The sequence below is a fragment of the Homo sapiens genome, chromosome 4 (assembly GCF_000001405.40).
Source record: "Homo sapiens chromosome 4, GRCh38.p14 Primary Assembly".
NCBI classification, from domain to species: domain Eukaryota; kingdom Metazoa; phylum Chordata; class Mammalia; order Primates; family Hominidae; genus Homo; species Homo sapiens.
In genome coordinates, this window is record NC_000004.12 from 1,816,459 (window position 1) to 1,840,346 (window position 23,888).

Consider the following 23,888-nt stretch of genomic DNA (forward strand, 5'->3'; position numbering starts at 1 on the left):
GCCAACAGAGGTGGAGGTTGGAGCGGGAGGAGAGGGGGCTGTGGGAAGAGGAAGAGGGGCCAGGAAGGGACGAACTGCTCTCGGAGAGGCAGAGACTGACATGCCAGAGGGTTCCTGGCTGGGACTGCTGGTCAAAGGTGGAGAGGCAGCCAGGCAGAGGCTACAATGTGCCCTTTGGAGCCAGAAGGGCCCAGCTCGGATCCAGCAAAGGGACCAGCCTCCCTATGTGAGTCTCCGATCCCTCTCCCGCGCCCACCACCCCACTCACCCCGTGGGCATGCCGTTGGCCGGGGCCAGCTTGCCAGCCTGCTGGTCCATCTCCAGCTGCGAGATCAAGCCATCGATCTGCCCGATCATTTGCTGCACCCTTTTTGTCAATCTCTTGCTGGCTTTAGATTCTTCCACGTACTTTTCTTCACCAGTCTTTGAAAGTTCCTTCTTGATCTCCTGCAAGTCCTAATAAAATTATTTTGGTTGTAAAAAGTTTGTCTTAAAAGAAAAAGGGGGTCAGGTGTAGTGGCTCACGCCTGTAATCCCAGTACTTTGCAAGGCCAAGGCGGGCGGATCACCTGAGGTTAGGAGTTCGAGACCAGCCTGGCCAATGTGGTGAAACCCCGCCTCTACTAAAAATACAAAAATTAGCTGGGCATGATGGCAGGCACCTGTAATCCAGTTACTTGGGAGGCTGAGGCAGGAGAATCGCTTGAACCCAGGAGGCAGAGGCTGCAGTGAGCCAAGACCATGCCAACGCACTCCAGCCTGGGCAACAGAGCGAGACTCTGTCTCCAAAAAAAAAAAAAAAAAAAAAAAGAATCTGGTTGGGCACAGTGACTCATGCCTGTAATCCCAGAACTTTGGGAGGCCAAGGCAGGAGGATCACTTGAGGACAGGAGTTCGAAACCAGACCAGGCAACATAGCAAGACTTTATCTCTACCAAAATTCAAACAAAAAATTAGCCAGGCGTGGTGGTGCACACCTGTAGTGCCAGCTACCCAGGAGTCTGAGACAGGAGGATGGCTTGAGCCCAGGAGGTGGAGGCTGCAGTGAGCCAAGATCACATCACTGCACTTCAGCCTGAGTGACAGAGCGAGACCCTATCTCAAACAACAACAAAAAAAGGTAATAAATTAACTTGTAAAGGTAATTAAACCCATTAATTCAAACCAGAGAGTTATAAAATTGTATTTCTATCATACAAATTTCTTATTTTTGTACACTGCCTTGCAAGCAAAAGACATAGAATCTATTCTGAATCTCAATTTCCTTCACATTTGTTAAAGAAAAATTAAGTGAACTAATTAATCAAGGAAATTAAGTGTCTTTGTTTTTTGAGATAGGGTCTTGCTCTGTCACCCAGACTGGAGTAAAGTGGCATGATCTCAGCTCACTGCAGCCTCCAACTCCCAGCCTCCCACTCCCAAGCAATCCTCCTGCCTCAGTCTCTGGAGTAGCTGGGAGTACAGGCACACAACATCATGCCTGGCTAATTTTTGTATTTTTTGCAGAAATGGTGTTTCACCATGTTGCCCAGGCCGGTCTCAAACTCCTGAGCTCAAGTGATCCTCCTGCCTTGACCTCCCAAAGTGCTGGGATTACAGGCCTGAGCCACCAGTGCCCAGCCTTAAGTGTCTTTTTAAATTCCAAGTTGTTTTTTTCCCACGAGTAAACACCATGAGGAAGAATGGGGAAGGCGAGGGGAGGGGAGGGAAGGAACAGGCTGAGCTGGTGATAAGCACCTCACATCCAGTGGAGAACCCACATGGCATGAGGGCTGTCATAAATCTAGAAATGGCCAATTATTTTTGCCAATTGAAAAATCAGTTATCATTCCCAACAGAGCTATGAAAACAGTTTTTAAAAAATCGTATTAGGGGCCGGGCACAGTGGCTCATGTTTGTAATCCCAGCACTTTGGGAGGCTGAGGCGGGTGGATCATGAGGTCAGGAGTTCGAGACCAGCCTGGTCAACATGGTGAAACCCTGTCTCTACTAAAAATACAAAAAATTAGCCAGGCATGGTGGCACATGCCTGTAGTCCCAGCTACTCAGGAGGCTGAGGCAGAAGAATCATTTGAACCCAGGAGGCGGAAGTTGCAGTGAGTCGAGATCACGCCACTGCACTCCAGCCTGGGCGACAGAGCTAGACTTCGTCTCAAAAAAAGAAAAAAAGAAAGAAAGAAAGAAAAAAAATCGTTATTAGGAAGTAATATTTACAAAAAAAGGGAAACAAACCACCATGGAAGAAAAGAAAAAAGCCACTTTCACGTAATCATGAATAAGATCTCGTCAAGTGACCAAACTCTTCATGAGACACCTTCCCATGTTTAGAAACTAAAAGATGTGGCCAGGCACGGTGGCCACGCCTGTAATCCCAGCACTTTGAGAGGGCGAGGCAGGTCGGTCACCTGGGGCCAGGAGTTCGAGATGAGCCTGGTCAACATGGTGAAACCCCGTCTCTACTAAAAATACAAAAAATTGAGCTGGGCATGGTGGCACATGTTTACAGTCTCATCCACTCGGGAGGCTGAGGCACAAGAATTGCTTGAACCCAGGAGGTGGAGGTTGCAATGAGCTGAAATTGTGCCACTGCACTCTGGCCTGGGCAACAGAGCAAGACCTTCTTACAAAAAAAAAAAAAAAAAGGTGCACACACATCTGTGGCCAGAACGGCACACAGCCACATTACAGAGGATTGGTCCAGCCGGAATGGCTGTGGAAAGGTTACTGAATAAGGTTTATTTATAACGTGCTTTCCTCTCCAAATACTCTTTGGCCAGCTTATCAAGTATCTGACGGAAGTATTATGTATACTTTTGGGGCCAGTACAGCGATTTTACTCTTCTTGCAGTCTCAGAGTCCAGGGAGCAAATCCCACCCACCTCGCTGTAGTCCTGCACATCCTCCTTCAGCAGCTCCAGCTCCTCCTTCTCCTTGGTGAGTGACTTCTTCTGCTCCTGCAGCTTAGAGCAGGCATCGCTGAGGATGTCGATTTCCTCCTTCGTGATCTCTTCCTCCTGGGATAAAAATGGGCAAACAACAAAGCCTGAGCCAAGGGAAAGAACTGGCCTGTTCCCAAGTGACCAGCTGCTCTGTTCATATTATACGGGCAGCCCAGGGCAAGAGTCTCACTGGACAGTCATTGGTAACAAGAGACCCGCGGGGTTCAGGTTCACTGCTGCGCTGGCTGCTGCACGCAGTCACTGTCTGCCCTCATATGCCAAACCCCATTTGTTTAAAGCGCGTCATCTATGAATTGACACGTGTACTGTGAAACTTCACTACAGTCAAAGAGTCACCTCCAAATGCATCTTTGTGCCCCCACTGGGTCCCGCCACCGACCCCCAGGCAACCTCAGGTCCTGCCACTGCAGACTCGGGTGCACTTTCTAGCATCTTAGATAGACGGATCATCCAGCAAGCACTCTTTTTGTCTGACTTCTCTCACTCACTTATTTTGAGATTTGCCCCTGTGGTCGTGTGTTTCTTGTCTTGTTTTTTGAGACAGGGTCTCACTCTGTTGCCCAGGCTGGAGGGCAGTGGTGCAATCATGGCTTGCTGCAGGCTTGATCTCCCAAGCTCAAGCAATCTCCTGCCTCAGCCTCCCCAGGAGCTGGGACTACAGGCACACACTGACATATCTGTCCAACTTTTTATTTTTTGTAAAGACGGCGTCTCACTATGTTGCCCAGGCTGGTCTCAAACTCCTGGACTCAGACGATCCTCCCACCTCGGCTTCCCACAGTGCTGATATCACAGGTGTGGGCCCCGCGCCCAGCCTCTCTGTTTGGTTTTTCTTTCCCTCAGCAACATTTTACAGTACTCCGTGGACAGCACTTGCATATCTTTTTCCAAATTTATCCCTAAGTAGTTCATTTTGGGGGGTGCCATACTGTTCAAACCTTCTCTGACTACTCATTACCATAGTGAAGCACAATTGATTGTTCACACCATTTGTGAATAAAGAGTTTTCCTTTTTCCTTTCTGATCTATATGGTTTTGTTTTCTGTATTCAACTGCCCTGACTGAAACCCCCAAGCTGATGCTGAGCTCAGAGTGAGGACAGACAACCTCATCAGCGTCTCACCACTGAGGGTGACGGCAGCTGGAGGTGTTTCTGCAGATGCTTTTGATTGGGCTGAGAAAGCTGCCTGCATGTGCAGGACATCTGCATATCAGGAACAGATACTGGGTTCTGCCACAGGCTCTTTCTGCAGCTACCAAGATAAACATTCCCAGCTTTTCTAATTTAGTCTGTTAATATGGAAATTACATTTTAAAAATTTTGGCCAGGCACAGTGGCTCAAGCCTGTAAACCCAGCACTTTGGGAGGTCGAGGTGGGAGGATCACTTGAGGTCAGGAGTTCGAGACCAGCCTGGCCAACATGGTGAAACCCCATCTCTACTAAAAATACAACAATTAGCTGGGTGTGGTGGTGGGCACCTATAATCCCAGCTACTCGGGAGGCTGAGGCAGGAGAATCACTTGAGCCTGGGAGGTCAAGTCTTCAGTGAGCCAAGGTCATGTCTGCACTGCAGACTGGGCAACAGAGTGAGATCCCACCTCAAAAGAAAAAAAATTCAAGCCAATTTGCATTTTTTGGACAAATCCCATGTGATCATGATTCTTTTTACAGAATAGTTCTATTTGATTTGCTAAAAAGTGAAATTTTTTTTTTTTTTTTTTGAGACAGAGTCTCACTCTGTCACCCACTGCAAGCTCTGCCTCCCAGGTTCACACCATTCTCCTGTTTCAGCCTCCTGAGTAGCTGGGACTACAGGTGCATGCCACCATGTCTGGCTAATTTTTTGTATTTTTAGTAGAAATGGGGTTTCACCATGTTAGCCAGGATGGTCTCGATCTCCTGACCCCGTGATCCGCCCACCTCGGCCTCCCAAAATGCTGGGATTACAGGCGTGAGCCACTGCGCCTGGCCAAATTTTTTTTTTATGGCTGGGTGTGGTGGCTCACACCTGTAATCCTAGCACTTTGGGAGGCTGAGGCGGGAAGATCACTTGAGGTCAGGGGTTTGAGACCAGCCTGGCTAACATGGTGAAACCCCCTGTCTACTAAAAATACAAAAATTTGCTGGGTCTGGTGGTGCACGCCTGTACTCCCAGATATTGGGAGGCTGAGGCAGAAGAGTTGCTTGAACCTGGGAGGCTGAGACTGCACTGAGCCGAGATGGCGCCACTGCACTTCAGCCCGCGAGTTCAAGATGGAAGGTACCAGGAGGCGCCCCAGGTAGGCAGCACAGGCGCCTGGAGGCTGCACCTCACAGGCTCGCATGGGGAGTCTGAAGATGCTCCAAGCCCAGATCACCCCACAGGAGGTGACAGCAGGTTGGGCCTGTGGAGGAGGCTCTACCTTGAGGGGCCACATTGGCTTCCACACCCCTTCACTGTCTGGGCAAGCTGGCAAAGGGCCCTGAAACCTGCCGACTGGCATCTCTACCTGCCACACTGTGGGCCAGGGTGCTAAGTTCACGGCAGCGTCAGCTGCTGTGCACCCAGGCACAGTGCGGAGCCCGGCCGGACTCACTCTTTTCCTAACCACCAAGCCTCCTAGGGGCCCAGTGGCCTCATCCTCAACCCCTTGCACCATCTCCTCTCACTGAGGGCTATAGATGCCCCAGCTAACCTGTCCCCATCCCTGCCCCACAACTGTCCACAAAGCCAGGCCATGCCCTCCTCAGCCTCCAGGGCCCCAGAACCTGCCTCATTACCTTCAAGCCCTCCAGCACCGGGGCAGTGTCCTTCAAGGTCTCTGACTGCAGGACTGTGTCAGGCATTTCTGGCTGTGGCTCGGTCCCCGGCCTTTGGGGAGCAGCTACCACACGTTCGGGCTCAAAATCCTTCTGAAAGGCAAGGCGACACCAGCCCAGCGCCCGCCATCACACAGAAGCAGTCTTCTTGCTCCCCGAAGCTCAGAACATATGGCAGAGGCCACACTGGGAGCAGGCCTGCAGGTGACATTGGGCAGCACACCTGCCACAGAAGGTCCCTAGGGAGGCTCCATGCAGCTGCCAGGTCACCTGGGGCCCTCTCCAGAACAGGCTAGAGCACCTTATCCATCTCTGGTCTCCCCAAGACTCCCCCAAGCTGCCCTGTCACTTGCAGAGCAGGAGGCTGAGCCTGTGGGTGGGCACCATGCATGTGACCCAAGAGGACCACAGGGCCCGCGTTGAAGAGGAGCCCAGAGGCTGGGGGAGCCTGCAGCTCCTCTGCCAGCGCCCCTCACAGCAAGTCCCTGAGGAGAGGGTGGGCACTGCCATATGCTAAGCTTGCCCCTCTGAGACGGCTAAGGTATATCTCCCATGAGCACCACTGTGGCCATCGGGGAGTCCCCATGTCAGAGTTGCAGCCCTCACACCCGGGCACCCTGCCTCCCTGACCACTCCAGGAGGAAATAAACATGCAGGACAGAGCTGCAGGGCAAGCATGCGGGAGGCCAAGACTGTGGGCGTGCGGGGGTTTCTAGGGAGGCTGGCTCAGGACAGCCCCACGCGGCACGGAGCAGGACCACCGCTTACCGCCACCTCCGAGCGCTTCTGCAGCTCCTTCTCACGGTGCTCCTGCTGGATGGCCGCCTCCTCCTGCAGCGTGGCCTCCAGCTTGGCCTTGTTGTCCACCTGCTCGCCCTCCACCTCGGCCACTTTCACCTGTGCTTCCTTTGCCTTCAGAAGAGGGTACATCTGTGGGTGAGCCCAGAAGCCACCAGAGGCCCCTGCTGCCCCTCACCTCTGTCCTGTGTCCTGTGTCCCCTGCCCCGTCACCACCTGGGCTTCACACACACAGGACAGAAGGCACTGCCGAGGTGCTGCCCGCAATTGCTGGGAGGCCCCTGGGCCGCCCTCTGCGCTCGCCCGATGACTCCTGACATGTGGGAAGGAGCATAGGCGCTGCTGACACAGCTCCAAGGGCCGCGGCCCAGATCCACAGCAGCCAACACGTGGCCAGGTCGGGACCACTGGCAACTGTGCCACACGGGGGATGGCAGGCAAGGGGCTGGTGAGGAGGGATGGAAGGAAGGGGACAGGTGGCTGGGTGGGGGCACTCGCGAGGGGGTGGGAGGCAGGCTCCTCGCCCATGGTTGAGGAATGAGTGCGCTTGCACACCTCCCCCCACCCCAGAAGAGCGGAGCCACCTATGAAGAGATGAGGTAAAAGGGGTCTCCGACAGCACGTACCACAATCTCTGGGAGGGTCTGCAGTGTGGACTTGAGCTGGTCGGCTGGAGAGAGGGTGTCCGGGAGGTACATGGCCCGGGACAGGATGAGCAGCGATGTGGGGATCTCCTGATGCAGGTGCAGGTCCAGCCACTGCAACCAAGGCCAGGTTCAGCAGATGGGCAGCCCCCCAACCCTGCTGGCCCCACAGCAGGTCCGCCCATCTCATCACCAGAATAGCTCTCAGAGAAGACAGTGTCTCAAGTTCTACAAGGTCTGTTTGTTGCTGTGCTGCGTGACCCGATGACGGCGTTAGTAAACAAAACACCAGAGAGGCTTGGGGGTCAGCAACCCCCACAGCGAGGACCCCAAGGGCCTCAGAACAGGGCACCAACTCTTCACTTAAAAACACCCCAGGGGCCGGGCGCGGTGGCTCACGCCTGTAATCCCAGCACTTTGGGAGGCCGAGGTGGGCGGATCACCTGAGGTCAGAAGTTCGAGACCAGCCTGGCCAACATGGCGATCCCATCTCTACTAAAAATACAAAAATTAGCCAGGTATAGTGGTGTGCACCTGTAGTCCCAGCTACTTGGGTGGCTGAGGCACAAGAATTGCTTGAACCAGGGAGGCGGAGGTTGTTTCAAGCCGAAATCGCGCCACTGCACTCCAGCCTGTGTGACAGAGCAAGACTCTGTCTCAAACAAAGAAACAAGACCAGCCCAGGTCAACATATACGGGCCCGCAGAGGCAGTGTCACTGAGGCCGGTCAGCACTCGGGCCCTTGCAGGCTCTGCACAGGCCAGGTTCCGGGGCTGGCTGCTTGAGTAACACCAAGACAATCTCCAAATGGGCAAGAAAGACCGTGACAATGTTTAGAGACAAACTGAACACGGGGCAAAACATGAGAACAAACCCTAAGAGAAGAAAGGCAACGCTGAGGAGAAGTGGGTAGAGAAAATATGAGAACAAACCCTAAGAGAAGAAAGGCACCACCGAGAGGTGGGTAGAGAAGGAAAAGTGTGAACACATGACACTCGGGCCCCCAATGCGCCACACTCCCCTGGGGGCCGAGGGGCCTGGGCAGGGACAGCACCTGCCCCCCTGCTCAGACACCCCTGTGTGTGTGGCCCATATCCCCACGGAGCTCCAGAAGGCTGGGCAGAGTGCTAGGGAGGTCAGCACCCATGCCAGACACAGAGAAGGCTCTGCTGGGGAATCCGATGGAAGACGCGGCTGTGGAAGGCAGGGGGTGCCACAGGATCACGCCATAAATACTGTCTGTGTCGAGAGGAGAAGTGTGTACACACACCTTCATCTACACTTGCAGGTTGTGTGAAAAACCCGGGAGGAGGATGACTGCCAACAAGGGCATGCCAGTGCCAGGGCACCGGGAGGAAACCGGCTGGAGCCCTGCACCCCTTAACCTTTCCATGTAAGAGTGAGTGGCTGGGGCTGTCACTTTCCGACCTACAAGCCACTCAATTTGATGGCATTGGGAACCAGGCACCAGCACAGGGCGTGGCCAAGAGAAGGGGCGGCTCCAAAGTCAGACCGTGCCATGCCACCCAAACCTTCCATGGCCCCAGTTCAGAAAGAGTCAAAATGTGAACACGTCCGACATCTCAGAGGTGAACTCCAGTCCTCATCTGACTACAGATAACCAAAATAGTAAGTTATTAAGGTCTTTAAAATCAACTAAAAGCAAACAAGAAAAATCAAAGCAATATTCAAAAGGCAATGAAAGGTGCGAATGCAGGGGTGTGAGTGCGGTAGGAGCAGAAGGGCGAGAAACAGCCCAAACATCCTGGCCGTCCCCAGAGAGGTCACAGTGTCGCCTCGCCAGGCCGGCCCAGAGTTTGGGAAGAGCCTCCGAGTGGCCTTTCGAGGCTGATGTTTCCCTTGAGCCCGTGCCGGCCTGGCACCAGGCCAATATTCACGCACCTGCTTCAGCTGACCCCTCAGGCGGTCTTCCGTGACGCCCAGGGCCCGCATGCCTCGTGCCCGACACGCTGCCTGCAGCTCCTTGACATTCAGGCTGTCCACCCCTTCCTCAGCAATCAGCTAGAAAACAAAGCAGTGAATTATCATCTGGGACAGTTGCTGGTGGGTGACAGTGTCTGTGTGAACACCCTCCAGAATAAGTGGCTAACAGATTTTGCCAAGCAAGAATCAAACCACGGCCACCAAAGCCCAGTTCTAGGTTAGAAGTGACTGGAAGCCTGTGACGGAGGGTCAGGATCTTGGGAAGTGCAGAACGGCCACGGTCAACCCCGAGACAAAGAAGTCCACCTCCAACCCTCTGTCCTGATGGCAGAACCAGCCCCACCCTGGCCACTCCTGCCACCTGCTGTTTCTCCTGATCCCCCAGTCCCCCATCTGCCAAAGTGTGCCCAGGATGGAAAAGAAGGAGGGATGGAAGGCGAGGGAACCAGACACTCTGAAGACACATCTTGACCTCATACCCAAAGGGCCCCTCTCTTCTGCTCAGCCCAAGGTCACTGTGACACCAACTGGAAAAGCAAACAGGAGTCCCAGAGGTAGAGGACACCAAGGCATACAGGGAGCAACAGGTGAAGAGAGACACGGAGAAGTAATGACAGCTACTGCTAGGCAGATGCCGGCAACAGGGCTCCCATGCCAGGACTCTGCAGTAGGGCCCCCCATCTCAGAGTTCACTCCACATCACAACCACCCTGTGGGGTAGACAGTACCACCACCTCCACTTCTAAAACCAAACTTGACGTAACTGTGGACACACATCCAGTTTTAACAAGTAACAAAGCTCCCATGCATCAGATGCCTCCCCTAGCATAATGTCTCACCAGCAGCACTGCAATTAGCACATGCCACCCACCCAGTCAAGACAGAGGCCACCTTCCCCAGCTCCCGGTGCTGCCCGTTCACAGACGCGCTTGTCTCCATGTCTGCTGCTGTCACCTGGAGTGCTCTCTGAACAGGATCATGCAGGAGTCACCTCTGGGGTTCCCTGAGGACCCACTGGGGGTGCTATGGGTGTGCCGGGTTAGGCCTCTCACTGCCATGCGGCATTCTGCAGCATGCGTGCCCTCCTTAGCCGAACCCTTCGCCCACTAAGCTGGGCTCCGCCAGTTGATCAGGAATGAAGATGCTTTCTGTCTGCTTTCTTCTCCCTGTCCTCCTGGGGGCTGGCTGGCCTCCGTTTGATTTCGCTCTGGTGGTCTGGAGTCTGTGCAGCATTTTCAGTGTTGCTCTGGGGATCACGATACACAATCCACGGACGCAGCTCACTGTAGTGCAGTGGAGTCGGCGCTCCACCCACGAAGGCAAGTGCTGAAGCTTCCCCTCCGTCTGTTCTGAGTCTCAGGTGTCGCCTCCACTCGCATCGTCGCCTCCACCCACACCGTGGAGCCCGTCCCTCAGCCCCGCTCACTGCAGAAGGCGCAGGGAGAGGGCAGCTCGCCATGCCGACCCTCGCTCTGGTTGCTGGGAACTCTTCCTGCTGCGCCGAGGTACTTTCTCTTACTGTTTCCTTTCTGGTCGAGGAGCTTCCCTCAGCCCTTCCTTTAGGGGAGGTCTGCTGGTGACACAGTCTTAGCTTCCTTCCCTCTGATACTGCCTTGGCTCCCCATCATTGCTATATTTTTGCTGGTTATAGATCCTGGATTGACAGTTCTTTTTTTTTTTTTTTTTTTTAATTTATTTTTTTATTGATAATTCTTGGGTGTTTCTCACAGAGGGGGATTTGGCAGGGTCATGGGACAATAGTGGAGGGAAGGTCAGCAGATAAACAAGTGAACAAAGGTCTCTGGTTTTCCTAGGCAGAGGACCCTGCGGCCTTCCGCAGTGTTTGTGTCCCTGATTACTTGAGATTAGGGATTGGTGATGACTCTTAACGAGCATGCTGCCTTCAAGCATCTGTTTAACAAAGCACATCTTGCACCGCCCTTAATCCATTTAACCCTGAGTGGACACAGCACATGTTTCAGAGAGCACAGGGTTGGGGGTAAGGTCACAGATCAACAGGATCCCAAGGCAGAGGAATTTTTCTTAGTGCAGAACAAAATGAAAAGTCTCCCATGCCTACTTCTTTCTACACAGACACGGCAACCATCCGATTTCTCAATCTTTTCCCCACCTTTCCCGCCTTTCTATTCCACAAAGCCGCCATTGTCATCCTGGCCCGTTCTCAATGAGCTGTTGGGCACACCTCCCAGACGGGGTGGTGGCCGGGCAGAGGGGCTCCTCACTTCCCAGTAGGGGCGGCCGGGCAGAGGCGCCCCCCCCACCTCCCGGACGGGGCGGCTGGCTGGGCGGGGGGCTGACCCCCCAACCTCCCTCCCGGATGGGGCGGCTGGCCGGGCAGAGGGGCTCCCCACTTCCCAGCAGGGGCGGCCGGGCAGAGGCGCCCCCCAACCCGGACGGGGCGGCTGGCCGGGCAGGGGGGCTGACCCCCCCCACCTCCCTCCCGGACGGGGCGGCTGGCCGGGCAGGGGGGCTGACACCCCCACCTCCCTCCCGGACGGGGCGGCTGGCCGGGCAGAGGGGCTCCTCACTTCCCAGTAGGGGCGGCCGGGCAGAGGCGCCCCTCACCTCCCGGACGGGGCGGCTGGCCGGGCGGGGGGGGCTGACCGCCCCCCACCTCCCTCCCGGACGGGGCGGCTGGCCGGGCGGGGGGCTGACCCCCCCACCTCCCTCCCGGACGGGGCGGCTGGCCGGGCAGGGGGGCTGACCCCCCCCACCTCCCTCCCGGACGGGGCGGCTGGCCGGGCGGGGGGCTGACACCCCCACCTCCCTCCCGGACGGGGCGGCTGGCCGGGCAGAGGGGCTCCTCACTTCCCAGTAGGGGCGGCCGGGCAGAGGCGCCCCTCACCTCCCGGACGGGGCGGCTGGCCGGGCAGGGGGGCTGACCCCCCCCCCCACCTCCCTCCCGGACGGGGCGGCTGGCCGGGCGGGGGCTGACCCCCCCACCTCCCTCCTGGACGGGGCGGCTGGCCGGGCAGAGGGGCTCCTCACTTCCCAGTAGGGGCGGCCGGGCAGAGGCGCCCCCCACCTCCCGGACGGGGCAGCTGGCTGGGCGGGGGGCTGACCCCCCAACCTCCCTCCCGGATGGGGCGGCTGGCCGGGCAGAGGGGCTCCCCACTTCCCAGCAGGGGCGGCCGGGCAGAGGCGCCCCCCACCCCCCGGACGGGGCGGCTGGCCGGGCAGGGGGGCTGACCCCCCCCACCTCCCTCCCGGACGGGGCGGCTGGCCGGGCGGGAGGCTGACACCCCCACCTCCCTCCCGGACGGGGCGGCTGGCCGGGCAGAGGGGCTCCTCACTTCCCAGTAGGGGTGGCCGGGCAGAGGCGCCCCTCACCTCCCGGACGGGGCGGCTGGCCGGGCAGGGGGGCTGACCCCCCCCCACCTCCCTCCCGGACGGGGCGGCTGGCCGGGCGGGAGCTGACCCCCCCACCTCCCTCCTGGACGGGGCGGCTGGCCGGGCAGAGGGGCTCCTCACTTCCCAGTAGGGGCGGCCGGGCAGAGGCGCCCCTCACCTCCCGGACGGGGCGGCTGGCCGGGCAGGGGGGCTGACCCCCCCCCCACCTCCCTCCCGGACGGGGCGGCTGGCCGGGCGGGGGGCCGACCCCCCCACCTCCCTCCCGGACGGGGCGGCTGGCCGGGCAGAGGGGCTCCTCACTTCCCAGTAGGGGCGGCCGGGCAGAGGCGCCCCTCACCTCCCAGACGGGGCGGCTGGCCAGGCGGAGGGCTGACCCCCCCACCTCCCTCCCGGATGGGGCGGCTGGCCGGGCGGGGGGCTGACCCCCCAACCTCCCTCCCGGACAGTTCTTTTAACACTTGAAAAATAATGCTCCACTTCCTCTGGTCTCCACAGTTCCTGATGAGAAATCCATTGTCATTCAAATTTTCCCCTAATGGTAAAGATGCCGTTCTTGGCCAGGAACAGTGGCTCACGCCTGTAATCCCAACATTTTGGGAGGCCAAGGTGGGAGAATCACTTGAGCCCAGGAGTTCCAGACCAGCTTGGGCAGCCTAATAGTAAGACCTCATCTCTACAAGAAAAATAAACAAAACTAGCCGGTGTGGTGGCACAGGCCTGTGGTCCTAGCTACTCAGGGGGCTGAGGTGGGAGGATGGCTTGGGTCCAGGAGATCAAGGCTACAGTGAGTTGAGATTGTGCCAGTGGACTGCACTCCAGCCTGGGCAACAGAACAAGACACCATCTCCCCCAAAACCCAAAAAAAGACCTGGCATTCATAAATGAAACAACGACACACACACACACACACGATGCCTTTCTCTCACTGCCTTAAAAACCCTTTGTCTTCAGGGTTCATTAGTTTGACTCTGACGTGACTTGCTGTGAATTTATTTGGATTTATCCTACTCAGGGTTCACTCAGCTTCTGAAATTTGCAGATTTACATCTTTAACTGAGCCTGGGAAGTTTTCAGCCAGCCATTATTTCTTGAGGTACTTTTTCAGCCCTGCTCTATCCTTTCTCCCCCGGAACATCAGATAACACAGATGGTTGACACTTGCTATAGCACAGGCTGTGGGGCTCTATACAATGTTTTCTACTATTTTCTCTCTGTTGTTCAAACAGGTAATTTCTATCATTTTATCTTAATGTTTACTGGTTCTGTCTTTTATCTTATCCATTCTGCTGTTGAGCCCACCCAGGTTTTGACTTTAGATATTGTACTTTTCAGTTGTAATTTTTCATTTGGTTCTTCTTTTTCAAATTTTTTTGAGAGACAGTCTCCCTCTGTTGCCCAGGCTGAGTGCAGTGACACAATCACAACTCACTGCAAGCTCAATCTCCCAAGCTCGAGCAATCCTCCTGCCTCAGCCTCCTGAGTAGCTGGAGCTACAGGCGCAAGTCATCAAGCCCAGCTAATTTTTAAATTTTTTTGTAGAGGTGGGGGGTCTCACTATGTTGCCCAGGAAGGTCTCAAACTACCGGGCTCAAGCAGTCCTCCCACCTTGGCCTCCCACAGTGCTGGGATTATAGATGTGAGCCACTGTGCCTGGCCTTAGTATCTTCTCGCAATATCTTTTAATATTATTAATAACATATTTCTTTTCTTTCTTTGCCCAGATCTGTTTTTCACATGTTCTGCTCTGTTGTGGCTTTTGGAGCTCTGCGCTGGTGGCTGTTTGAGGCCCAGGTGCAGGGTCTCTAACTGTCATCTCAGGGTTGGTACCAGGCGTTGCTTTTTCTCATTCACTGATACCTTCCTGCTTCTTGACTCTAGATCTGACTTCCAGTGTGTCGCAGCTGACCTCCTCCGGTGCATGGTGGCATGGGCGGTGGGTATTCTAATTTGCACAGAGTTTGCAATTGATGATCTGGCATCTACCAATCCCAGGACCAAGCTAACAAGGCCAAAGCTGTTTCCACTTCCCTATGGTCCAGCTTTCATGGGCCAACCACAAACCCTAACGTCTGTGTTTCCCTTCCTGCCCAGTCAGACATGTCTCCACCTACTGCAGACAAGGAAGGCAGCCATCGTCCCCCCCAGCTTACTGCTCCCCATGGGTGTGGAGGTTTTGTGGGGCTGAGTGACAGGGGAGCTGTGGGTAACACATTTCTCTCAATGGCATTGACCTCTCCATGTTGTCACTCACTCACATCCATAAGCTAAATCCCAGGCATATTTTAGAAGTGGTGGGAGCGCTGCCTCGTAAGAAGTGCAGGCTCCCCATCCAGCCTCCACAGACATCTGCGGGACAGCGGTGCTGCTTGCTACCGCTGGGAACGGGTGGGTGGGAGTTCTGGCTCTCACAGGTGTCTCCCCCAGTAGGAGGGCAGAAGCATCTCAGTACTGTTTCCCACCTGGCTCCCACTGGCACCATGGTAGACGTGACCTTGTTCCTGCTGGGCAGTGGTCAAAGTCCCAACTCTCCGCTGGGCCCCCAAGGCCACCCCAGTGGTGGGGAAGTGTGGCGGATACACTGTCAGATGAGAGGAAAGCTCAAGCCCCCCACCTGGTCTCCACTGACACCACAGGGGCTGGCCCCCTCAGCCTTCTCTGACACCATCACCACCAGGGCTGGGGTGCCTGTTGTGTCCCGGCAAGGGCGGGATACAGGCTCCCCACATGGCCTTGCCTTGATTCATGGAAATGACTGGCCCTCAACCTGCTCACCAGAGATGCAGGCAGGCTCTTCCTGGAAGAGTTCAACACTGCCCTGAACCTCTTTGTCTTCCACAGACAATGCCTGCATTCAGGAAAAACTAAACACTACAAACAAAATCAGAAGGGAGAGCAAAAGAAAAAGGCCTACGGACCACCCAGTTATTAGAGTAATCAATGTGAACTAGAGTTAGTGCATTCAAAAAGACAGATGACAAGAGGAACAGTTTTACCTGAGAACTGAAATCTTAAGAGCTCCTAGTATGAATAAAAGAGTAACCAGCCGGACACAGTGGCTCATGCCTGTAATCCCAGCACTTTGGGAGGCCGATGTGGGCAGATCGCTTGAGGTCCAGAGTTTGAGGCCAGCCTGGCCAATGTGATGAAGCCCTGTCTCTACTAAAAAATACAAAAAATAGCCGGGTATGGTGGCGGGCGCCTGTAATCCCAGCTACTCTGGAGGCTGAGGCAGGAGAATCGCTTGAACCCAGGAGGCAGAGGTTGCAGTGAGTCGAGATCTCGCCACTGCACTCCAACCTGGGCAACAAGATCGAAACACCGTCTCAAAAAAAAAAAGGAGTAATCAGACCTAGAAGGAGGGCAGCGCCCTGAAAGCACAAAAGGGCGTGAAGCACAGAGGCAAGCACGTGCGATGGACAGGACAGGGCAAAGGGGCAAATGGACCCTCGATGAAGACCCTGATGTGAGGAGAGAGGCACAGAGGCACTGTCATCAATAAGCAGGATGAACACAAAGACAGACACAACTAAGCAAGTTATTATAAATCTGACGAAATCCAAACAGAGAGATCATCCGAGAAGGTGCCAGAGAAAAGACATCCATCTTCAAAGGATCTGCAATCTGCAAGTGGCAAGACTCCTAGTGAGCTTATTTTCGATCGTTCAGCATCTTCCAGAGTTTCTACAATGAGGACATGCTGCTTTTATCATCAGGAAACGAAAAGGTAAAACACCAGAGCTGTGGCGCGGAGTATGGCCAGGCTCACCTTGTCGTCTGCCTTTATGGAGCGCAGCCGCATGGTAAGCTGGAAGCGCAGGAAGTTGTTGGTGCCGATGGACTGTAGCTCCAGCAGCTTGCACAGGGCCACCAGCTGCGGCCGTGTCAGGTTGTCCAGGGTCAGCTCATCCTCAAATAATTTGGAAAAACGCATGATTTCCTCATTGCTGGGCCTCTCCCCTGTTTCCCGGATCTGCGGAAGTGGTCACAAGGGTCATCCCCGGGACACGCGCCCACCCGGCTCCCTCCCACGACCAACCACATTCCCAAAGGGTGCTGCCTCTCATCCTCAGGGACTCAAACCACTGACTACTTCTTCTTTTTTTTTTTTGTTTGAGACAGGGTCTCGCTCTGTTACCCAGGCTGGAATGCAGTGGTGTAATCTCGGTTCACTGCAACCTCCACCTCCTGGGTTCAAGGGATTCTCCTGCCTTAGCCTCCCGAGTAGCTGGGATTACAGGCTGCGCCACCACACCCAGCTAATTTTTGTATTTTAGTAGAGATGGGATTTCACTATGTTGGCCAGGCTGGTCTCAAATACCCGACCTCAAGTCACCTGCCCAGCTTGGCCTCAAACCACTGACTTCTGACTCCGGTGCTGGGCTAGCCTGGGGAAAGGTGGCGTCTGGCCTGTGGACCTCTCCTGCCTGAACCAGCAAAGCTGAGGCTGCTGTCTGCTGGGGGAGACGCCCGGGCCCACAGGCTGCTGCATGCAGGTCCTGTGATCCTCTCTCTGCCACAGAAGTGGCCGGGACCCTGCTGCTCTGGGGCAGGAAGAGGTGCACCTGTGTGCACCTACATCTCCCACGGATGACTGCCTGAGCCTTGGGGGAGGGGTGGCCATCTAGCTCTTTAGGGAGAGCTAGAGTCCCTTAGCGTGGATCACTCAGGGCCCTTTGGGTGATCCTCTGCAGTTCCTACCACCTGAGGGACAAGCCACCAGCTCAGTCTCTGCCAAGAGCTGGGCTAGGAGGGTACCTAGCAGAGGTGACAGATGAGGGAGGACGAGGCTGACTTGGTGCCCAACTCAAATCGTAACATGCAGGATGCCAGCTCTGAGACACAATTTCAGGTGTGCTCCTGGGGGCGGCCCTATGCAGCACACCCCCGTGCAGGTGACTGCAAGCACATCCTTCTTGGCAGCTGGGCGGCCCAGGAAAGGTTGGGACGGGCCCCTCCTGCTCTGCAAGGCACGATGTCCTGGGTGAGGCTCCCAAAGCATGGCTCCCCCTAAAACATCTTGCTGGAACCACCACCCACTCCCTGGGGGGCTCAGCAGCCCCATGGCTGTGTCGCCTCCTCCCGAGAGGCTTCTCCGTGGTTAGGCCTCAGCCTGGCAGTCTTTTCTGTCAAGGGCCAGACAGCAAGTATTTCTGGCTTTGCAGCCATGGAAACCACTCGCCTCTGTGCTGCAGCGGGAAAACCCCACAGACAACGCACACGCATGGCTGGAGTTTCTAGGCCCTGGTTTAAGCTCTTCCTGCACTTCAGACACATCCTTCTCACTCCAAAGTGGCACAAGTCCCTCAAGCCAACAACACCGGCCTCGTGAACCCCATCTAGTCCTCAGGGATCTCGGTCCGTGGCAGCTGCCGTCTCCCCATCCTCACCTCACTCACCACATGACCGCAGGAAACCTCAAGGGCCGCTCCTCCTCTCCAGCCCCCACTGCTCCCACAGTCCAGGCCTCTGACCAGCCCCTGGGACCTGGGATCTTCTTGACTGACTCCAGCCAGAGGGCAATGCCCAGCAGAGGAGCCCGGCCAAGCCACCCACACCTCACACCATCAGGGTCTCAGGCTCCTCATGGGTCAGATTCTACTGCTCCTGGACAGCTGCAGGGTGATGAGACACAGACGCCCATAATTCTGAAGGCTGACGAGGCGCAGCCACCACAGCTTAACTCACTGGGAGCTCGTGGGGGCAGACTCCTGACACTCCACTGGCCCCCGACTGAGCCTCCTGGGTAAACTTTCAAGCGCCAGCCAGCACCTGGGGGAGCTCCACTCTGCTGAGCACAGCGAAAGGGAAACAGAAAATCAGGGAAGGCTCCCTGGTGAGGTCACAGGGACTCAGACGTATCACAGCACCTTCTGGAAAAACACAGAGAAGTCTTTGGTGGCGCTGCCCTTGGCTGCCTTGTTCTTCAAGGCCATCTCCTCGATGGTGTCCTGGAGGAACTTGGCCAGCTCCAGCTTGACCCGAAGCTCCTTCTTCAGCCTCTCCTCCTGCAAGGGCAGAGAGGGCACTGCATTCCAACTGCTCAGACTGTGGTTCGGGCAAGGAAAACATCTCACGCCTGTGCCCGACCCCCACTCCCAGAAACATTTCACAACACACTGACTCTCATCTAAGTGCAATACATTCTCAAACTCTTTTATTTCATGGTTTTAAAAAGTACCCGTGTGGGCCGGGCACAGTGGCTCATGCCTGTAATCCCAGCACTTTGGGAGGCCAAGGTGGGTGGATCACCTGAGGTCAGGAGTTTGAGACCAGCCTGGCCAACACGGTGAAACCCCGTCTCTACTAAAAACACAAAAATTAGCCAGGCATGCACACCTGTAATCCCAGCTACTTGGGAGGCTGAGGCACAAGAATCGCTTGAACCCAGGAGGTGGAGGCTACAGTGAGCTGAGATTGCACCACTGCACTCTCCAGCCTGGGTGACAGAGCGAAACTCCGTCTCAAAAAAAAAACAAAAACAAAACAAAAACAAACAAACAAACAAACAAAAACAAACAAACTCGTGTGATTCCCTAAAGCAAGGATCGGCACACTTTCCGTAATGGGCTAGACAGGAAGGCGTCTGGCCTTCATGGCTGTGTGGTCTAAAACAAATGCTTAACTCTGCTGGTGCCTCACAGACAAGACACATGACTGGGCATCGCAGGTCCCCACAGGGCTCTGCTGAGAACAGGCAGGGTCCTGATCTGGCCTGTGGGCTGCAGCTGGCTGACCCTGCCCTAGAAGGACCTCATGACTCCCCTATAGCACCGGTAGGGGAGTGTTCCTGGTCTAGAAAACCTGTATTTTAAAATACATTGAGCTGGAAGCAGTGGCTCACACCCATAATAACACTTTGGGAGGTCATGGCAAGAGGATTACTTGTGCCCAGGAGTTTGAGACCAGCCTGGGCAACATAGCAGATCTTGTCTATAAAAAACAAAAAAAAATTAGTCAGATGTGGTGGCTTAGCCTGTAGTCCCAGCTATTCGGGAGCTAAGACAAGAGGATCACTTAAGTCCAGGAACTTGAGGCTGCAGTGAGCCGTGATCGCACCACTGCACTCCAGCCTGGGTGACAGGGCGAGACCTGTGTATGGTGGCACACATGCCTATAATCCCAGCTACTTGGGAGGCTGAGGCAGGAGATTCGCTTGAACCCGGGAGGCAGAGGTTGTATGCAGTGAGACAAGATCGCACTGCTGCACTCCAGCCTGGGTGACAGAGCGAGACCCTGTTTCAAAAATAAATAAATAAATAAATAAATAACGAAATAAAGAGAAACAAATCCAAAACCCAGCATCCACTAAATAATTATTGCACAGCACAAGGACAATATGAAGATACATAAAGTCTCAAAAATATCTAGCACCTGAAAAGTCACAAACAAGGAAGCCATCACAATGAATTTCAGACTCATTCTAAAACAAGCAGTTGGGATGCTGCCCTTACCTTGAGTGACTGAGTCTCAAATGTGGATGGCAACATGTTGGGGAAGAGCTTCACAGCAACAGGCAGCAGAAACTCCATGAACGGCACCACCACGAACACAAGGAACGGCACCAGGCGGAAGAGGTCAGCGCAGATCCGGAGAAACTGGAAGGGGCGGAATCCATCAGAGGGGAGCAGAGCACATGTGGGAACAAGGGCAAGGGGTGTGAGCATTTCTCCTATAATGGTTTATAGGCACAACCTCAGGCAGCGACTCACAGGACCCACTGAGGACTCTAAGTTCCAGAACCACTTAGCAGACCATTCCCAAAACCCACTTCTTTCTCAGGGTCCAAAGCAGGTACCAGCAGCCTCCAGAAAAGCAGGGTATGGTGCTGACACCAAGGGCCACTGGGTGCTCCCAGCGATCGAGTCCTCCGAGGACACCGGCCAGCACTCTGGGCTCGGGGGCCAGCAAGTGAGGGCTGCAGGCTGAGGACTGGGCATTACTAGCGTGGTGGAGAGTCACCAGGATAGGCTGAGCCACACCTTCTCTTGGAGGGTGCTCTATAAGGAGGGCTTCTCTTGTGTTTCCTAAGACTATACTACAAAGCAATCATTAGGAAAAAACCCAAGTATTTCATTGACATAAACAAACTAGTACTTGATGCCATTAAAGAAACATCCAATTTGAAATAATCAGAAATCCCTGTGAAGCCTGAACAACTGCTGGAAAACAGCGCGGGTGATGCTGCCCCTCCTTGGTGCTGCTCACAGGGGTCCCTTGGCCAAGGTGTTCCATGTAGTTCCTACGTTTCCTGCGTTTCCACTGGCAACAAGTGAGCGTTCCCAGGGAGACGCCCTGAGAGCAGCAATGTCCTCCTCCTCATCAGCCTCTCTCCCGACCCCGCGCTCATTGAGCCAGCCTCCACTCTCATGGGCACAAAACAGTGGCTGCCTAACTCTCCTATCTTGTCATCTGCAGGAGGGGAGAACCCTGCCTTCCTATACATTCATTTTTCTGTTTTTTTATCGCACTGGACCCATGGACTCCTGTATTTTTTGACTGATTTACAATTTACGGCTGTCTTTATTCCCAAACGGTGCCATATTTGGGCAGGACATATCCTTAAAGCTGGCACATGTGTTTTTTGATATGCCTCATTAATTTTTTTAGCAGTTCTACTGAGGTGTAATTTACATACCATAACATTCAACTATTTTAAATAAATTTGATGATTTTTGGTAAATTTATACATTGCAAAACCATCACTAAAATCCAAATTTACAAGTTTTTTTTTTTTTTTTTTTTTTGAGATGGCGTCTAGCTCTGTCACCCAGGCTGGAGTGCAATCGCCTGATCTTGGGTCATTGTATCTCCATCTCCCTGGTTCAAGCGATTCTCCTGCCTCGGCCTCCAGAGTAGCTGGGATTACAGACATGCGCCACCACGCCTAGCTAATTTTTTTTTATATTTTTGGTAGAGACAGGGTTTCACTATGTTGGCCAGGCTGGTCTCAAACTCCTGACCTCAGGTGATCTGCAGCACTGGCCTCCCAAAGTGCTGGATTACAGGCGTGAGCCACCACACCCAACCAAGAAAATAACTTCTTAAATGTTTGTAAACACAAAAGCAGAACTGCAAATCCCAACCTTTTAGAGCACATTTCAGTGCACAGGATTATCTTTTTTTTTACTTTTTATTTTTTTGAGATGGAGTCTCACTCTGTCTCCAGGATACAGTGCAGTGGGCGCGATCTCGGCTCACTGCAACCTCTGCCTCCCGAGTTCAAGTGATTCTCCTGCCTCAGCCTCCTGAGTAGTTGGGATTACACGCGCCCGCCACCACGACCGGCTAATTTTTGTATTTTTAGTAGAGACAGGGTTTCACCGTGTTGGCCAGGATGGTCTCGATCTCTTGACCTCATGATCGGCCCGCCTCGGCCTCCCAAAGTTCTGGGATTACAGGTGTGAGCCACTGCGCCCGGCCAGGATTATCTTTAAAAAGGAAGGCCTCCCAGCACTTTGGGAGGCCGAGGCAGCAGGACTGCTTGAGGTCAGGAGTTTGAGACCAACCTTGGCAATATAGTGAGACCCAGTCTCTACGAAAAATTTAAAAATTAGCCTGGCATGACAGCGTGCGTCTGTGGTCCCAGCTACACTGGAGGCTGAGGTAGGAGGATCCCTTATGCCCGGGAGGGCTGAGGCTTTGGTTAGCCATGAGGTTGCAACTGCACTCCAGCCTGGGTGGGGGAGCGAGAACCTGTCTCAAAAATAAAAATAAGTAAATAAATAGTAGAGCCACAAAAACGTAATATAAACCCCAAGAGCTAGAAACCATGAGGTGTTCTTGGGAGGAAAGGATGGAGCAGACAGGAGATGAGGCTGCACCTGGGAGAGAGTGGACTCGATTCCCACATAGGGCTGCACTCTCTGAGGCCCATGGTGTCCCATGGCTCTCACAGAAGCAAACAATATCTGTGCTGAAGAAACTAGCTCACCACCTACATCACACAAGGTTTACCCCTCTGAAGTGAGATTCCATCTCTTTTAAATTAAAAAATTAATTTAAAATAAACTAATTGAGCTTCTAGAGTTAAAAACATAGGCACTGAAAATAAAACCTTGGTGGCTGCATTAAACAAGATTACTTCAGCTGAAAAGAGAATGAATAAAATAGAAAGAAAACATCTAGATTGCAGCCCTGAAACAAAGACAGAAAATGGAGAATCTTTTCAGAACCGTGAAGGACAGCAGGAGCTGGTGCACCAGAGGACAAACCAGGAGCCCCGAGAGCCTGGGCACTGGTGAGCGAGCAGGTTCTATCACAGATGGCAGATGTGGAACCTTGGGGTCAGAAGCACGGATCCCAAAAATAAAAACAACTCACCCAGAGGGACACGCGCAGCCCCTCCAGACAGACGTTGAAGCAGTTAAGACAGAAAGGGCCTGCACCTGCAGCAGAGGTGCACCTGTGCAGATGCAGACCCCTCCCAGGAAACAGCAGTGGAGAGCCAGGGCAAGGCATCAAGAGGGTGAAGGCATCGAGAGTGGGTGGAGCTGTGTGCTGAAAACTGCTGCTGGGAAAGAGTTGAAGCAGGAGCAGACGGTGTTGCAATTCAATTCAGTGGCGAGGTGCGCCTTTCCATAGGTGTGGTTAGTTATGACAGGTATTGGTTCCTGGCTCTACTGCCCTTGTTACAGTCTTGTGATAATGTTAGGTGTGTCAGGCCTTGGGGGCAGGCCTCTGACCTCTCTACCCTCCTTTCACCTGCCCTAAGGCAGGTCACTAATCTTCCCAACTTCCTGACTATGGGTTTTAAGACCCTCCCTAAAGAGGGTTCCGTCCTATTCCCTGAGGGAAGGAATGCCCAAGAGGACTGGGTTCAAGGAGCTTCCAGAAAGCTGAACACGGTAGAGGTTCACCGGGGGTTGCACCCTGGGAAGCATGGAAGATCCATGCCCCTTCCCCGTACATACCTTGCCTTACGGTCTCTTGACCTGCATCCTTTGCACTATGCTTTATAGTAAACTGATAAATTTAAGTGTTTCTCTAAGTTCTGTGAGCCGCTCCAGCAAATTAATCAAACCCAAAGGGGTGGGGGTGGGTGTCACACCTCATGTAGCCCATAAATACGTATACCTACTATGTACCCACAAAAACAAAACAATTTAAAAACAAAGAGGGGGCCAGGCACAGTGGCCCACGCCTATAATCCCAGCACTTTGCGAGGCCAAGGCAGGTGGATCACTTGAGGCCAGGAGTTCGAGAGCAGCCTGGCCAACGCGGTGAAACCCCTCTCTACTAAAAATACAAACATTAGCCGGGTGTGATGGTATATGCCTGTAGTCCCAGCTACTCAGGTGGCTGAGGCAGGAGAATCACTTGAACCCAGGAGGCGGAGGTTGCAGTGAGCCGAGATTGTGCCACTGCACTCA

General features: G+C 54.3%; 1 protein-coding gene across 3 annotated transcripts in view, besides 1 other annotated feature; it reads right to left on the reverse strand.

The window, feature by feature from the left end:
- The window catches only part of LETM1 (leucine zipper and EF-hand containing transmembrane protein 1), a 44,678-nt gene that overhangs the window by 4,980 nt on the left and 15,810 nt on the right, over positions 1-23,888 (reverse strand). For 2 of the 3 annotated variants that reach the window (XM_006713884.2, XM_047415673.1), the window contains 9 exons: positions 19,971-20,114; positions 18,387-18,524; positions 16,286-16,489; positions 9,106-9,225; positions 7,186-7,317; positions 6,530-6,673; positions 5,723-5,851; positions 2,880-3,014; positions 269-456 (listed from right to left, as the gene is read on the reverse strand). In XM_006713884.2, the coding sequence (XP_006713947.1) occupies positions 269-456; positions 2,880-3,014; positions 5,723-5,851; positions 6,530-6,673; positions 7,186-7,317; positions 9,106-9,225; positions 16,286-16,489; positions 18,387-18,524; positions 19,971-20,114 (1,334 nt within the window). Of the gene's footprint in view, positions 1-268; positions 457-2,879; positions 3,015-5,722; positions 5,855-6,529; positions 6,674-7,185; positions 7,318-9,105; positions 9,226-16,285; positions 16,490-18,386; positions 18,525-19,970; positions 20,115-23,888 lie in introns of all 3 variants that reach the window. The other variant, NM_012318.3, reaches the window with a different exon arrangement.
- Positions 9,881-10,683: an enhancer, noted in NCBI's record as "H3K4me1 hESC enhancer chr4:1828066-1828868 (GRCh37/hg19 assembly coordinates)". NCBI's record gives its function as "activates a minimal SCP1, AML or CMV promoter by ChIP-STARR-seq in naive and primed H9 embryonic stem cells {active_cell/tissue: H9 hESC(naive and primed)}" and the evidence as "EXISTENCE:reporter gene assay evidence [ECO:0000049][PMID:30033119]".